At 45.4% G+C, this 17,289-nt stretch overlaps 1 protein-coding gene across 3 annotated transcripts in view; it reads right to left on the reverse strand.

Annotated features, from left to right (window-relative positions):
• The window catches only part of SLIT3 (slit guidance ligand 3), a 639,400-nt gene that overhangs the window by 135,242 nt on the left and 486,869 nt on the right, over positions 1–17,289 (reverse strand). For all 3 annotated transcript variants that reach the window (NM_003062.4, NM_001271946.2, XM_017009779.1), the window contains exon 9: positions 9,465–9,606. In NM_003062.4, coding sequence (NP_003053.2) covers positions 9,465–9,606 — 142 coding nt within the window. The remainder of the gene's footprint in view (positions 1–9,464; positions 9,607–17,289) is intronic.

A 17,289-nucleotide genomic window follows, 5' to 3' on the forward strand; every position in this document is an offset into this window, starting at 1 on the left:
CTTGGCTGCCGGATGAATAGAGTCTACAAATGAGACTGCCACGATCTATTAACAATGCCTTTGTACCCTGCTGGAGGGGGGCGGGGAGTGCACTTTACCGGGAGCACAGTCACAGGCCTGGCTAGCCTGCTCACAGAGAGCCACAAAAGCTTACCATAGGGTCTCAGAGACTGTGGGCTACTGGATACAGCCACCCACAGAGACAGCAGACTTGAGGCAGCCTGCCTTGCCTGAGAAGTTCCAAGGACATGCTCATTTTCCAGCTGAGCATAGAGTTCAGCAGAGATTTCTTAGCCAAGGCAGCAGCTCCATGGATCTCTGGGGCTGCCAGTCAGGTGGTGCGTGCTCTCCAGGAATCCCGTCATTCACCTGCCACTGTGGCAAGAGATTTCAGCTGGATGATGCCTCCAGGGAAAGCCACTGTCTGTAACAACGGCAATCCCCTCAGTTTTTGCAAGAGGATCCACTGCTCCCAACTGCAGGCCAATGAGCCTATGCAAGTCAGGCTAGCACTGGGTGTGAGGTCTGTGGGCTCTCTATGCAGTTCCTAATCAATTACCCTCCATCTTAATGATGGGTGCAAGAATTGAGGGAGAGACTAATCAAGGAACATGATGTGACGCTGGCCCCAAGGAGTCTGAGAATCTGATGAGAGAGACCAGCCCAAGAGCATCACAGAACCAAATTTTATTGCTACCATAATAAACATCAAGAGCCATCATTTATGGGGTCTAATTGACTATGTCTATTATCTCTTTTAATCCTTCCACTTGTGAGGTAAACCATATTGGCCCCATTTTGCAGATGAGGAAAAGAAAACCTAGAGGAATCAAATAGCTTGTCCAAAGTGACAGGGCCAGGAACGGGCAGAACTGATATCTCTGTTTCTATCCATTGGATATGCTGCCTCTATATATTTGTGAAAATGGAGGAACTGAAGGGGACTTTCTCAAAGTCACAGAACAGTTTAAGGGATTAGGACCCCAGGGCTCACACACAGAGACGTCATGCAGTCTCTGTGGAAGTAGGTATTCAGGGAAAAGCTGCAGGAGCCCAGAGAAGATGAAATATAGATGTGAATACACATAAGACATATAAATGGAGTACAAAGGTGTGGCTTCCAAACGAAGAAAAAAGAATTCCAGGCTTAGCCTGTTAAGCCTGGCAGAGATCTTGCTCTGCATCCTGCACCCCTCACACTTGCTCACTCTGGCTTTTGGTTTTCTTTTCTTCTTCTTCTTCTTTTTTTTTTTTTTTTAAGAGACAGAGTCTTGCTCTGTCACCCAGGCTAGAGTGCAGTGGTGTGATCATGACTCACTGCAACCTTGAACGCCTGGGCTCAAGTGATCCTCCCACCTCAGCTTCCTGAGTAGCTAGGACCACAGGCCCATATTACCATGCCTGGCTAATTTTTAACTTCTATTTTTGTAGAGAGAGGGGTCTCACTATGTTGGCCAGGCTTATCTCAAACTCCTGGCTTCAAGCAATCCTCCTGCCTCAGCATCCCAAAGTGCTGAGATGACAGGTGTGAGCCACCACGCCTGGCCTGGGTTTCATTCTTGTCTGCAGTTACTCAGCTTCTCAGGCTGTTTTGGGCACTGGCTGAACACCCAGCCCCTCCTGGAGTGCCAAGGCCATTGCATGATGAGGGTCAACCCTGCCCCAGGAGGCAGCAGGAATTTGTCTGCAGTGGGAGCGTGGTTGCGAACAGTTTGTGTACCTTCAATGTAAAGTAAAGGAAAGGGGAGGGATAACCATAACCACCACTACCACCAAGAGCTATGATGGATCAGGTGCTTAGTTGTTAGGCACCAGGCTGAGAGTTTCACATGGTCTGTCTGACTTAATAGTCACATTCTATGAGTCAGATCTTATTAGTTATTACCACCTCCACATTAAACATGAGAAAATTGAGGCTCAGAGAGATTAAGTCACTTGCCCAAATTCACAAAGTCAGGGAGAGGTTGAGCTGGGTCTCAAAGCCAAGTTCATCTGACTTCAAAGCCCAGACTCTCAATCACCAGGCTTTGCTGAATGCCATTTGGAGCTGAAGGGCCTTCATTTTCTTAGTCCTTTCCAGCTCATCCACAGGGAAAATGGCCCCTTTGTCATGCAAGCAAGGTTGGAAAGTGTGCACACATGTGTGCAGGTTCACATGCAGTCTCTGTGCAGCAGGTACTCCTGGAAGTCTTTGCACTTAGCCTAGTCCTGCAACCTAGAACAAGGATGCAAAGGTCCAGACTCCTAGTGTGAAAAGCTCAATGGAAAGGACAAAAAGAAGCATTTGCATCAGCAAAAACTGTCACATTTAGGGATGTGTCTGAAGCCAACAGCTGATTTAGGTCTCTCTTAACTGGCACATGTGTCTTTCTTTGTCTGGCAAACACTCTTCAGGCTGCAAACTGATTTAATAGAACTAGCATAAAAACAAACATACAAATCAAACATCTGAGTGTCTTCCCGCACCAGCAAAAACAATGGGAACATCTGATGGGGATTTCAGCCATTTGTGCTCTGTATTGATTTGCCCTAGTTCCTCAGATGCTTCCTTAATGATCTGTCATTTGCAAACATGTGACTAAACACAATATATTTCTAGCAATACAGAAGTCAACATGATGCCAGGGAGCCTGGCAGGGGCACGGCCGGCACAGGGGCATGTCTGCAAGTCACCTGGTTAAAAGGTCCTGGAGTGTGTGGAAACATTGGTGGTGGTGGTGGTGGTGATAATATGAACATTTACCATTTATTGAGGGCTTTTGATATGTCAGACACTGTCTTCCTTGCACACTGGCTCAAATTATTTTTTTCAACAGTACTATGAACCAAGTAGTATTATTAATGTACTCATTTTACAGATGAGGAAATAATGGTACGAAGAGGTCAATTTTCCTAAGGTCAGGTAGCTAGTGAATGGTGGAGCCTGAATTTGAATCCAGGTTGGTCTGGTTGAAGTCCCTGTGTTCTTAACCCTTAGGCTATCCTGCCTCCCACCCAGAAGCCACTTTTGTGGTTTCTTAACTCTTTCCCATCTCTCTCAGCCTTCCTTGACTTGGGAACTCTTGTTAGGATGTCCAGATCACGCTGAAGGAAGGAAGCCCCATGTTTATTCTTCCTTTAAGTCATCCTGGGCTAGTTGGTTGGACCAGACAACTTAGACCCCAAAGGTTCAGTTCCTGATGCTTCCCTATGCTGGAAGAAGGCTAAAAAGGAAGGTTCCTTTCAAGGTTATGCTCTGGGCCCACCTTCTGGGGCAGTCCCTTTCTGGCCTCTCTCTTTCTTTACCATTGGTCCTCATGGTTCTTCAGAAAGGTAGACTGTTGGCTGGGCGCAGTGGCTCACGCCTGTAATCCCAGCACTTTGGGAGGCTGAGGCGGTTGGATCACCTGAGGTCAGGAGTTTGAGACCAGCCTGGCCAACACGGTGAAACCCATCTCTACTAAAAATACAAAAAAATTAGCTGGGCATGGTGGTGGGTGTCTGTAATCCCAGCTACTTGGGAGGCTGAGATAGGAGAATCACTTGAACCTGGGAGGCGGAGGTTGCAGTGAGCCAAGATCACACCATTGCACTCTAGCCTGGGCAATGAGAGCAAAATTCTGTCTCAAAAAAAAGAAAGAAAGAAAGAAAGGTAAAGTGTATTAGACTCTCCCATCCAGTTTACATGTTTGATCCATAGAGAAGATGAGGAATGTAGGCATATCTGAGAAAAGCCATTCCCAACCTGTGCTGTGTGTAGACACCTGGTATTGCCTACAGAAAGCAGAGGTACAGACACAGCACAGAGCCAGATTTGCTTTGCTTATTCTGTGCATGTGCTCAGATGCCACAGAGGAAATTATTTTTTTGTCTTAGAACAAAATGGATGAAGAATTGCATGGGAACTTGAGACTAAATCGTTCTGTGATGACACACACATATACATGTGCAGATGTTTTTGCTTTTTACATTCTTTTTAGTAGCTTCCAAACAGTTCTCCATGTTATGTTATTTAATCTTCACGGGAGATTTCTAGGTAGGTATGATGACCCCCTTTAGGCAAAGTGGGGAACTGAATGAGGCATGAAGATGTTAAGGAATGTGCTTAAAGTAAGAGGCAGAACAAGGATTCGAACCCCCAAGTGTGGATCCCAATGCTCTGTTCCCAGTCACTCTGTCTGATCAGCTTCTCCTTCGTACCACCTGCTCCCATCCCACCCTATCACCCCTCCTTCCATGTGACAGTCCCTTACATGGAAACCTGGTGCTCTCAGAAAATCCAAGAGTCACTGATGTCCATGATTTCTAGAACATTCCAGCTCTCTGGTTCTGTTTGCTGGTTTGTTTTGTTGTGTTTTTAATTCTGTGTGTCTTTTAAACCCCCTGGTGGCTGGTAAGAATGGAATATTTGCTATTGTTAAGTGGCTGCCTCCCTATCTCAGAGAGACACTGTGGTTAAGGGGAGGCAGGGTGAAAACTGGGGCTATTTCCCCTGCCAGATGCTCTCACTTGTGACTGGACACGGAAGCCTGTCCATAGCCCTTCTTCATGGAAGACATTTAGCTTCCATAGCAGAAGATACGAGACACGGGATACCACCATGGGGAGATACAGAGCAAAAGTGGAAGAAGATGGGACTCTAAAGACAGATGGTCCCTCCAGAGCTTTTGAAGACTCATGAGGGCGTCTGAAGACCACAGAGCAGATGAACATGTGGGTCTCTGGGGCTTCCCATAATCAAAACCTGCTGGAAGCCAGAGCTGGTTCAGAGAACCGACAGGGTGCAGTGAGAACGGTGCCATCGGTGGGAGCTCAGCTTCGAAGAAAATCTGCAGTGAATCATCATCTCACTGTGGGTTCTCTGGAAGAAAACTATTTTTAGAGGAATGGGCTCTGGTATTCGGGGACACCAGCACACACTCCTCTGAGCTGCTTTGGCTTTGGAAAACACTGAAGAGAGTCTGCGAGACTGTTTTGCATGAGAGATAGGCAACCCCCTCCCCTTCCCCTAAAGTTGGGGAGTGCAGAGCCCCACCCAAGGTTAAGGCAATTTAAGAGAATCACTAGTAGCTAAGGATTGAGAATAGGGAGTGGAGAGCTTAACACAGTACCAAGCATTCCTAAGGAGAAAGTACAAATCTGGATTATATGGGTGGCCATGGACAAGGAGTGGAATTCTCAATAAGAAAAAAAAAAAAAAAAGACATTTGGATGTCTTTGGAATGATAAATCAGATAACTCCTATTCATCCTGGGGTGCATCCTGCTGTTTCAACTCTCTGCTCCCTTTTTTCTCATCTTCCCACCCATCTGCTGACCTCTCACATGGTAGAAGACTTTTAGGCCATCACACAGGTCCCCAGGTACATGGAAGAAGCAGGATCCCCCCTCCAACCTGCTCTCAAGTTCTCTCTTACATGTCACCTCTCGAACTGCCCTATCCAGCCATAGAAACTTGCCGCCTCTGCTTTAATTTTTCAGTTTCATTTTATCACAGAGGAGGAGGAGGCAAGCACAGCAAGAAAAGTCCTCGGCAATCCATCTGGTAGACCGTGGGTGCCCAATACGCAGGGGCAGTCTTATTTACATATATGAATACATTTGCATGAAGATGAGCTACTCCCAGGTTCAAGTCATAATGCAAGTGGCTAGCCTAGTTCCAGAACCTATTCTCTCAACCATAACCCTTCAAAGAACTGACCTATGTTTACGGAGGGATCTTTTGTGTAGGTAGCTCCAGCTCCTAGGATGTGGTTTCTAACCATTGTCATCATCCTAATAAAGGTCGTGGTGATAGTTGTAGTAGTTGCCAGTATGAACTAACAACAAGCATTGTTAATATAGTATATCCTACGGACCAGACACAATGCTAAGCATTTTACTATATTCGTTCACCTAACTTTCATAAGAACCAGTAAGGAGGTGCCATTAGCCTCTGCGTTTTGCAACTGAGGAAACCAAGGCTCAGAAAAGTTATCTGCCCATGGCTACAAGGCAGAGCCAAAGCTGGAATGTATGTCTGCTGGGATCCACAGTCTATACTCTTAACCTCTTGGTTGTTTGTATCTCCTTATTTCTGGAAACACTCTAGCTAGGATGATCATTCTCAGACTTTTGGATTTCAAAGACAAGGTGGTGACAAGACCTTTTATTTTGCCAATTATGGCAATCTGTGTGTATCTACTATACAATACACATAAAGTATAATTATACAATAATTACACATAGATAACACACAGAGACTACTCTGTCTTCAGTGGCTATCATTTTATAAAATAAAAGACATTTTTAAAAACGATGATAACAAAATAAGGAAGTCCAAAAACTGAAAGGATGCTCCTTTAAACTGAATATTTTTGCTCAATAGAAAAATATCACATTGTTCTTGTTTTTCTCACTTTACCTGATATCAGAGAAAAACTCAGTCGTAATAGACAGGCTTTTGGCAATTACTGTTCTAGCTTGTCAATGTTGCTTTTAAAATTCAACACATCCAGGTGTGAGTCCAACCTTTCAGGTATGGTCTGGCCTGCACAGAGCCCACCTCTGATGTTGTTATCTGCAATTTCTGTCTCCTGGAGAGCTGAGCTGTGTATCCACGAGGTCCAAACTGAGAGTATAGAGATGTGAAGTGGAAGGGGGGTGGCAGGCCCAGAGCCCCTCAATCAGGGCTGGGGTGGGCTCACTGGCTACAGCCTGGCTACCTGGACTGGACTCTTTCATCAGACTGCAGTTTGGGAACCTAGCCGAGGGACGGTCTATGGCTGCCAAAGAGAAAAAAACCTGGCAGATGGAAGGAGAAAAGAATAAGGTAGGGCAGGGAAGGAAAGGAACGATCCATAGGAATCTGAAATGAGATGAGGGCTGGCAGGAATTCTGTCTTGAACATCCACTGTGGGAGGGCCAGAGGCTCACTGTGGCTGGATGTTGAGGGAAGGGAAGTGAAGGTTAACTGGGTGGAGAAAGAGGTGGGCAGAGTGGGGAAGAGAAGTGGGAAGACCATGGGTAGGGCAAGGGAGAGAAGGGGAGAAATGCATCAAGGGAGGGAGAAAATGATGAAGGGGAGGGCGGGCACGGTGGCTCATACCTGTAATCCCAGAACTTTAGGAGGCCGAGGCGGGTGGATCACCTGAGGTCAGGAGTTCAAGACCAGCCTGGCCAACATGATAAAACCCCGTCTCTACTAAAAGTACAAAAAAATTTGCTGGGTGTGGTGGCAGGCACCTATAATCCCAGCTACTTTGGGAGGCTGAGGCAGGAGAATCGCTTGAACCCAGGAGGCAGAGGTTGCAGTGAGCCAAGATTGTGTCATTGTACTCCAGCCTGGGTGAGAAGAGTGAAACTCTTTCTCAAAAAAAAAAAAAAAAAAAAAAAAAAAAAGATGAAAGGGAAACAGTGCAAAAAGGAAAGAGAGCAAGGATAGGAAATAGGAGGAATGATGGAAGGAGGGAGATATTTAAAGTAAATTAGATAGTATGTTGGAAGGCCGTAGGAGGAGCAGGAGAAGTAGGTGAGGACTAAGTAGATTCCGTAGAGGGAGCGCTCTCTAAAGCTAGAGCACTGGACCACAGGGACTGAAGGAGAGGTGCATTAAAACCCTAAGGGAATGAATTGTCAGTATTTGTGGAAAGGAAGGTGGAGGGCCGCAGAAGGCGGAGAGGGCAGGCAGAAAGGACTCTTTACTAACCAGCTCCTGCCTGCCAGAGGGTGCGGAGGCATGGGTTGTGTCTACTATGGCTGGAAAATGGGACTGTAAAGGAATTAAAGAAAAGCTGGCAAAGTAGGTGAAGAAAGAAGAAGCGAAGTCTCCACTCCACTGTGGTAAGTCGTATGCTTCTTCCCGTTTCAATCAAGGTAAAGCCAAAGTCTTTAAAACGTCCCAGGATGCGGCCCCTCCTTACCTCTCTGATCTCATCCCCTGTTACCATCCCTTTTGTCTACTCTACTCCAGCCACACTGGCCTTCTGGAGCATCAGGCCCACTCCAGCGTCAGGGCCTTTGCACATGCGATTCCCTCAACCTATAATACTCTTCCTCCAGATAGCCATTTGGTTCTCTCGCTTATTTCATGTCCTTTTCTTATTTTATTTTTCTCCACAGAATCTACCTTCTGACATGTTATCTAACTTACTTTACTTTGTTGCTTGTTTATCCCCTCCATCACTAGAAGGCAAGTGTCATACAGGCAGAAATGTGTCTGTTTTGTTTGTTTCTGTCTTTCCAAGCACAGAACAATGACAGGAAAATAGTGGGCTCACAACAGATGTTTACTGAATGAATACAAGAATGAATGAAGGAGTCAATGGTCATCAATTGGAATGCATTGGGAACAGAAGGGCACACACAGGGAAGGGGAGGAGGGGGAAGAGGAGGAGGAGGAAGAGGAGGAAAGAAGAAAGGGGGGAGATTACGACAAAGCAGAAAGGCAAGGGGAATATGTATCTTTTATTTGGAGGGATTTTACCTAATGATGTTCTCAGTAGAAGGGCTCCATATAATGATCTTTTTAATCAAGCCAACTAAAGGTGAAGGCAAAAAAATGAAAACAACTGTCGCTATTTAAAGAATAATCTTGAGGTCAGTGTTGACTGGCCCTCTACTCATTTTAGAATGAGATACTGGCCATTTTCTAATGTATGAGGGGAGAGTGGACTAGACCGAACTATGTGGACAAACACATTTTACTGGAATTTTTGACATTCATGTATACACAGAGACAAACACCATCTTGTGTCATTACCTAAAAATGATCTAATCTAGAGGACAAAAATCAGATCTGAGATAATTAAGAGCTCAGTCCCCCTCTCAGATAATGGTAGCTAAGAAATGAGTGAATCATTTGTTTACGTCCCACCACTTCCACCACTATTTTACAGAGTACCTGCCCATGTGCTGAGGACTGTATGAAGGGCTCCACGTGTAGTATTACATTTAGTTTTCACAATGACCCACTGAGGTGTCATACTATAATTGTCACATTAATATAGGTGAGAAAACAAAGGATGAAGGAGACATTATTTTACCTGAAGTCACACAGCTAGTAAACGGTATGGCCAGGATACAAATACAGCGTGACTCTAAGGGGAGTTTGCAAACTCATTGGGACAGGCCAGAGAGAACATACTTTTTAGGCCTTGTGGGCCATGCAGTCTTCTGTGACAGCTGCTCAATACTGCCATATGAGACCAGCCACAGGCAGGACACATATAAATGGATGTGGAGGTATTCAAAAACATTTACAAAAATAGGCAGTGGGAACCCCTGGCCCTAGGCTATAGCTTGCTGATTCTGATCTCGAGTCTATGCTCTTGACCACCAAGCTATCATAGCTGGGAAAGTGTGGAAGGACAGCAAAGAGATTCCTGAGTGTTTTTAATGGTCAGCTCCAGCAGCCCCACACGCTGATGGCCTAGTGGGTGATGGGCTGGGACAGGGAGCTGAATTCTCCGGCGACAGTTGTTGGGGGTGTCAGACAGGTGCACTTACATTTCGACGATGCCCTCCGGCAAGTTGGCAGGAATCTCCATCAAGCCCTTTCCTCGACAGTCCACGATGTTATTGCTGCACGTGCAGGGCGAAGGGCAGGAGATGGAGTTGGCATTGCAGGATGGGGGCTCCGAGTGGGGGGCTGTGGAGCCAAGACACAACGGTCAACTTATGTCAGTGTCAGGAGCTGCCTGGGCTTCTGTGTCCTTAACCAGCATCCTAAGGGCAAAGCATGACCTGACAGCCATCTGAGAAATGATCACCAGCTGACATCTCCCTTCACCTGGGAGACACAGGTGCCACAGGCTAAATATTCAGCAAAGAGGAGAGAGTCTGACTTGACCTCACTGTTTGAGTTGCTCCGCCTGCTCTGTTATCCTGTCATCTCCATCTTTTGGAGAAAGAGGGGCCCTCAGAGTCAGTCACACATGAAAATATGCTGCCAGAATCCAAAGAGCATATGATGGGACCACTTTCCCAGGATGCATCCTGGGGTTTTAGCTGGTATTGGACGCTGAGTGTAAACATAGCTTTTAGACCTTTCTCTAGTGGCTGCAAGCCACGGGGCTATCAAAACCAAGTGGCAGAATGTCCCCATTTGCGGCATTGATGTTGTCAAAGTGTTAATACCCCCACCAGCAGCTACACCCAAGGCATTTCCAAATGGCTTCTTTGTCCAGGGAACATGCAAATAAAAGCTATCTCGCCTGAAAAAAAGGTGAGTAAGTTACTACAGATTTTGAAGCCAGCTGTTAATTTTGTTTGAGGTGAGAATCAGTGTGAATTTCAAGCAAAGTGACAGAAAGCCAAGCAAATAGTACCTAAGGAGCTCATTTAGAAAGCCAAATGTAGATAGACATATCCATTACTAACCCAACTCAAGATTCAAAGAGTCACCAGGAATCTAAATCACTTTCTGTGGTGGTCACATTAAATCCTGAATACAAGAAGTAAATGCAAATGTTTTAAGGACATTGTAAACATTTGCATGCTATGACTATTCCCTCAAAGTGAGGTAAGACTCTTAATCATATGGTTAGCTTTCCAAATGTGGATTTTTTGGTCCAAAACAGAAGCCCAACCCCACATCCCTCCCAGGACCTCATCCTACTGCTGCTGGATCCAGCTAACAGGGGTTATTTCAATGTCTTTCCAGATTGTCCTCTCAGGGAAAAGAGCCATGACTGAGACCAAACTTAGATGAGGTCTGCAGATTGCCTCACTGCTTGGACATGGGGCCTCTGGCTGGGGGCTCTTAATTGTAGATTAAACACAGAACATGAAAAAAGTCTGCAGGGAAAAAGTGATTTTTGGTTTGGCCCCTGTTCACTGGAGAAACTGAGTCTAGGAAGCCAGAGTGGGTCTAGCTACAGGGATTGAGCCAGACGACCAGCAGAGCCTGGTGTCCCGTTTGGACGCGGACGCTTCAAACAGAAGGTGGTGCGCTCTCCGCGTTCAATAGTCCTCGTGGCCCCAAGGGTGGATCCTCCTGCAGGGGCTCCAGTTGACATCTACAGCTTAATTTGGAACGTTTACCTCCCCAGAAAGTGCCAGCCCAATGACCAAAGATTCTTATTTCCCTCGACCTCACTTACATATACACAAAACAAAAACTGAAAAAATGGCCTCATAGTGGGGATGTTTGAGAAAATATTCTTGTCCAGGGTACATGGACCTCAAAGTTGCCAGTGCTACACAAGTGGATCTAATGGAGACCATGGAAAATGCCCGAAAGATGATGACTTACACTGAATTCCCAGCTGGAACATTCTCCTAGAGAGAGTGGTGATGCTGGCCTTGTTCCAAACTGGGAAAGCCTTTATACTTCTGAGAAAGTGGCAACCACAGAGAGCCAACCTGTAAGAGACTCAGCTCAGGAATGGGAGAGTGTTGGGGCTGAGAATGTGGGCTCTGGGTCCTACTGCCTCTATCTGATTCCTGGTTCTATCATTTCATCATTATTTCCCTGTGCCTCAGTTTTCCCATCTGTAAAATGGGGAAAATAACAATACTTATTTCATAGCATGGTTTTGTTGTGAAGGCAAAGGTAGGTAATGCCTGAGACGTCTTTATTAGAATACACGGCACAGGGTAAGAGTTTGGTAATGTTCATTGTTATTATTGGGCCTGCTCTGCTACAAATTGTTTGTAAGACTTTTGGCAAGTCACAGTACCTCTCTCTGAGCTTTTTTTGGTGCCATGTCAGTGAATAAGGAGTTTGGATTGCATGATTACTGAAGTTCTTTCTGAGAAGGAGTGAAAATACCTAACATCTTTACCTCCCCTGCTCCACCTCTCTTTGCAGACAGCAAAGGGAATTCTACGGTGTGAAAGGCTCCCATCCCATCACCCACATCGAAGGGAGGTTGGGAGCAGTTGGCCTCAGATGTCAGGGTGTTTGAAGTACAGATGGCGTTCCCTAAAGAAAACTGCGGAGCCTGGCCTTCCACATCAAAAGGAGAGCACACCTGACAAAGCCAGGGAGAAGTCCCACACTTGGGACACCTTCCTGTTTGGAAATGTCAGGAATGGGAGTCTGAACTCTTGCATTTTCCATCTGTTCAGGTGGAGGGACTGGATGGCCCTCCCTCTTTTGATCTGTGAAATATTACTTGAATGGGGTGTGTTGGAAAAGGGGAAAGAAAGATACCATATTCAAGGGCTTATAATGGCGGTGGAAGTTCTAACATGGAATTCTTCCAAAAGTACCCCTTTCTGACTTCCAGGCTGAAATTAATTCTGTTCTAAACCAGACCCAGGGCACAGCCTTGAGTCCCTCTGGGAAGTGGCTGGGTCTTCCGCAGGGTGACTCCCATTCTGTTTGGCAGTGTGTGCTACATTTCAAGGGATGCTGTCAAGGCAAAAGAAGTCTTTGAAAAAGATTCCTTAACCAGGTCACTAACACCACCTTTAATTAGGCAGAGAGAAACAATGGTAATTATAGCCTCTGATAGCACCCTGGGCTGGCAGCTCACCAGCCAGGCATTCGCACATGGTGAGGACGTTACCTTCCTGTTTAAACGAAACACTTCTGGCTTACAATGAGGTTGAAAGATGGGTTCGTTTTCCCTAGAAACATTCTCCTGTGATCGATGCCAATGGACCAAGCCCATTCCCTGTGGGCCACGGAGAGCTAGATGGCAGAAGTCCCTCCACTTTGCTCCCTGTCTGGACTGAGATTGGAATGTAAATTCCATAATGGCAGTGGTGTTTTTGGTCTTAATCACTGGTGTACTCTCAGTGCCTAAAACAGGGCTCCATACAAAGCACGGACCCATAAGCATACCTTGGCTAAATGAGAAGATAAGTACATAAGGACACTCGCCCAGAAGCCTGGCACATGTGGAGGGGCTAAATGTCACAAAGCTACAGAGGTGAGTGTTCCTTCTGGAAGGGCCCTGAGGGAAGCTTCCTGAGTTTTGAGTGCCTGGCCTCTGGTAGGTAGGATGAGCTGTAGAATGGGGAGGTGGAGTGGCCGTGGGAGATGGGACTCTGTCTGCAGCTCTCTTCTTTCCACCACAGCTTTCCATGCTGGCAAAATCACTTGTCCAAGTCACCTGGGGCCCCTCTGAGCCTATCTCACTTGCACAAGCCAGGGTGTCCTAAGCAGTCTACTGAGCTCTGTCAGCAAATCCACCCCTTCCAGCCCTTACTGTCCACACATGTTGGGGAAGGTAGAGGCAGTGGATTTCCAAGGAGGACAAAGTAAGGAAACACCTACCTTTTTACCCAGCAAATTATATGACTGTAAGTTGGGAAACAGAGAGGAATGGGAATAGCAATTTTATATTGGGATAGAAGGAATCACTTTCTATATCTCCGATGAAAGCATCTGTCTGCATGCACATGTGTGTTCCTCTTGTACAGCATGCTCTTATGGCGGTCTCATGACCCACACTGTCCTTGAGTGAGCCTATGTACTGGCAAGGAAGGTGGCCTTAACTCAGAGCACAGTGATGCACCAGGCTATAGAACCCCTGTTATAAGATGTTTTGATTAGGAGCATGTGGACTTGCTCTGCATGTCTTCATTTTTAAATAAGTGTCCACACTATCTGCTCTTGGAGCTCTTTCAGTGGCACTAAAATGCTGCTCTGCTGGGGTGGATTTCTTCTCCAGAAAAGGGGGCTGAGGATGTGGCTCAATACGCGTCTCCCCTCTGGGGGGGACTTGGTCACCACTTCGGCTCTGGGCTCTCTATCTGAAGCCAAAGCTGTCTTTGTGCCAAACGGGGCAGAAACTACAATTCCTAACCTTCAGATGTCTTTAAGGCCCCCTGGACCATGGCCTGATGACTTCAAGGGGGACAGAGCAGAGCCTGGGAGAATGGAGGCCCCTCCCAGCTCCTCACTGATCATCAGTGGTGCTGCCTCCGGTCCAGGGAACACTCAAGTGAGTGAGAGGGGAGGGATGCGTCTCCAGCCCAAACTCTCACAGGGAAAGTCCCTGCGGCTGCTTGCATGGGTATTGTGCCCAGTATCCCATCTCTGCTGCTTGTATAACTCCCCCTGAAGTTATCAGAGGGAAGAAAGACTGAGCCATAACCAGGGACCTGCCTCCTGCCCAGCCACATTGTTCTTCTCCTAAATGGTAAAATGGGGATGATTATCAAGGTGAAAGCGAAAGGTCCTAACTTGCCTGCTGAGATGAGTGGGAAAAAGACCACCAAATTTCACACTTAGATGGGCCCATGGAGATGGCAAGGAAAGAGAAGCCCTGAGAGAGGAGGGGACTTGCCCAAGGACACAGTGGGGTCCAAACTAAGAGTAGCCATCAGTCTCGTAATAGCAACTAACATGTATTCAATGTGTACTATGTGCCAGACACTGCATTGAGTGCTCTGTATATATTATCTCACTTGATCCTCATAAAACCCATGATTTAGGTTCCATTCTTTTTTTCCCCCTTAGCATGAGATGAGGAAACTGAATAGGGGGTTAAGCAAACTGTCCAAGATCATAAAGCTAGTGAACAACAATGTTTTAATGTTTAGCCCTGTGCTCTTCTTTCTGTCTGCTCTGCCAAAAGGAACCCCAAATTCCTCCATTTATTGCCATGAAACTGAAAACCATCAGAGCCTTGGAATCTCAAGAGGTAGGAAGAGCAGGCTCAGGGACTGAGACACAGGTTGTGTAAGCTACACTAGAGATGATCAAACACTGTTGTGTTAGAGCAGTGTTTCTTTCTTTCCATCTTTAAAAAACCTCATCCACAACGAGCTATCACCCCATCCCAGTTTGAATGGTTATTACCAAAAAGACAAAAAACAACAAATGCTGGCACCAATGTGGAGAAAGGGGAACTCTTATACACTGTTGGTGAGAATGTCAATTAGTACAGCTACAACGGAAAACAGTATGGAGGTTCCTCATAAAATTCAAAACAGAAGTACCATATTCAACAATTCTACTACTGGGTACATATCCAAGGGAAATAAAATCATTGTGTTGGTGAGGTATCTGCACTCCCATGTTCATTGCAGCATTAGTCACAGTAACCAAGATATGGGATCAACCTGTGTTCATCAGTGAATGAATGGATACAGACAATGTGCTGTATATACACAGTGGAATACTATTCAGCCATAAAATATCCTGTCATTTGTAGCAACATGGATGGAACCGGAGGACGTTATGTTAGGTGAAATAATCCAGACACAGAAGACAAAATACCACATGATCTAAGTTATATGTGGAATCTAAGAAAGTTGATCTCATAGAAGTAGAAAGGAGAATGGTGCTTACCAGGGCCTGGGGAGGGTATTCGGGAGGAGGACATAGGGAGAGACTGATCCGCATGTATGAAGTTATGGTTAGAGAGGAGTGAGTTGTGGTGTTCTAGTGCCCAGTAGGGTGACTACAGTTAACAATATTGTGTTGCATATTTCAAAATAACTAGAAGAGAGCATTTTGAATGTTCCCAACACAAATGTATGAGGTGACAGACATGCTAAATCCTCTGATTTGATTTTTACATAATATATACATATATTGAAACATCACACTGTACACTATCAGTATGTTCAATTATTGTGTGTCAATTCAAAACAAAATAAAAAAATTTACAGAATATTTTGAAAGTCTGAACAACAACAAAAAAACCTCACTTGGTAAAAGTGCAGAGTCAAAAGCTCCAATGGCCTTGTGAGCATGTGGAAATAAATTAATTCCAGTATTCAAATTAAGCATCCTTACTGGCCTCTGGCCTTTCAAAAGCCAACAACAGACTGCGATGACAATGGGACTCGAGCAATTATGATGAGAATATAAATGAATGTGATTTAAATACCAGAGGCATGATAATTTTGGGAATGGCTAAATAAAGCTAATAATCTCATTCCTGCAATGTCCAATTATGGTGTTTTAATTAAAACCTCCTAAGGAGATGGGTGGCTGGTCATGGCTTACCTTAATTATCTTTGTACTTAGTAACTAGTCCCAAATTAAAAAAAAAAAAGACGATGAAAAGGGAAAGTTTCTTGTTTCTAGAGAGATAAGCATATTTCATTTTTAATAATAAATGAAGTGCTTATTGAGAGGCTATTAGGTTCAAGCTTTGTTCTAGGCATTTGGGGCACCTGAAAAAGTGTACGACGTGGCCCCTCATTACTAGAAGACAAGACTAATGTCTGTAGGAAAGGATATCTCACATTTAAGGCCAAGGGCAGGTAAGTGTGAAACAGATGGACAAACCAATGGGTTCAAAGACATTCAAAGCAAAGAGATAACTGATTTAGGAGGTCAACTAATAACCTTGAATTACAAATTGCGACTGGTAGAAACCCTTCCAGATTAAGGTACCAGAAAATTAACAAGTGGAAGGTAAATCCTAAAATTTAAACCCCCAAATAAACCCTTTAGATAAGGATGAAAAAAAAAAAAAAAAACCAACAACTTGCAACTCATGTAACATGAACTTCTTCTCTGGTCTATGATCATGAACTTTGATAAAGTTCTGGTCGGGTTCAGGCCACAAGCAACCAGACACTTCCAGCCGTAGGGCCTTAACCTTCCTCTTGAAACAAGAAAAGTTCACAGAAATCCTTTCAGCAGAAGCTGAAGGGGGCCAAGTAGTCAAGTTGTATAACATAGGGAAAAAAGTTAATAAAAAGATAAAGCTCTATTTCCCCACCCTTGTGAAAAATTCCCAATACCCAGGGGAAGAAAATAAATGCCTTCAACTGGAAAGGTACAGTTGACAGAGGAGATGAATTTTGCCAAAGTGCACTGCTAGCAAATTTCTGGGTTAGCTGGAGTGATAAGGAGCCCATATCCAGGGCTTCTGGGGAGAAGAAGCTGGGCTCCAGACAGCTGGATTTAATTCAAAGGGAGATATCAGGCACTTGGGCAGGCAGAGCCCTCACAGGCTGAGCGAGATAAAGCTCTTTCCTGTCTCTGGAGCCATGTGTTTGGTGAAATTTTTGATACCATTTAAAGGCTCAGGGAGCTTTTCTTATGCTGCCTGGATGGGGACTGCTGGTGATGAAGCTATGCCCAGGGATGGCTTAATTGCTACCCCAATGCCTCTTTTCCTCCTGAGTGGATGACCTCTATTTTGTAAGAGAAGTTCTTGTCTTCAGTTCTTGACTGAATTTCTCCTCTTGTGGTTTAACAGGTGAATAGCTTGAATGAGGGGCATTTGGGGTTTTTGCAGTTAAAAACCACCACAGGGCCGGGTGCGGTGGCTCATGCCTAGAATCCCAGGGCTTTGGGAGGCCGAGGCGGGTGGATCACCTGAGGTCAGGGGTTTGAGACCAGCCTGGCCAACATGGTGAAACCCCATCGCTACTAAAAATACAAAAAATTAGCTAGGCAGGGTGGTAGGTG

Source organism: Homo sapiens, chromosome 5, assembly GCF_000001405.40.
Source record: "Homo sapiens chromosome 5, GRCh38.p14 Primary Assembly".
NCBI classification, from domain to species: domain Eukaryota; kingdom Metazoa; phylum Chordata; class Mammalia; order Primates; family Hominidae; genus Homo; species Homo sapiens.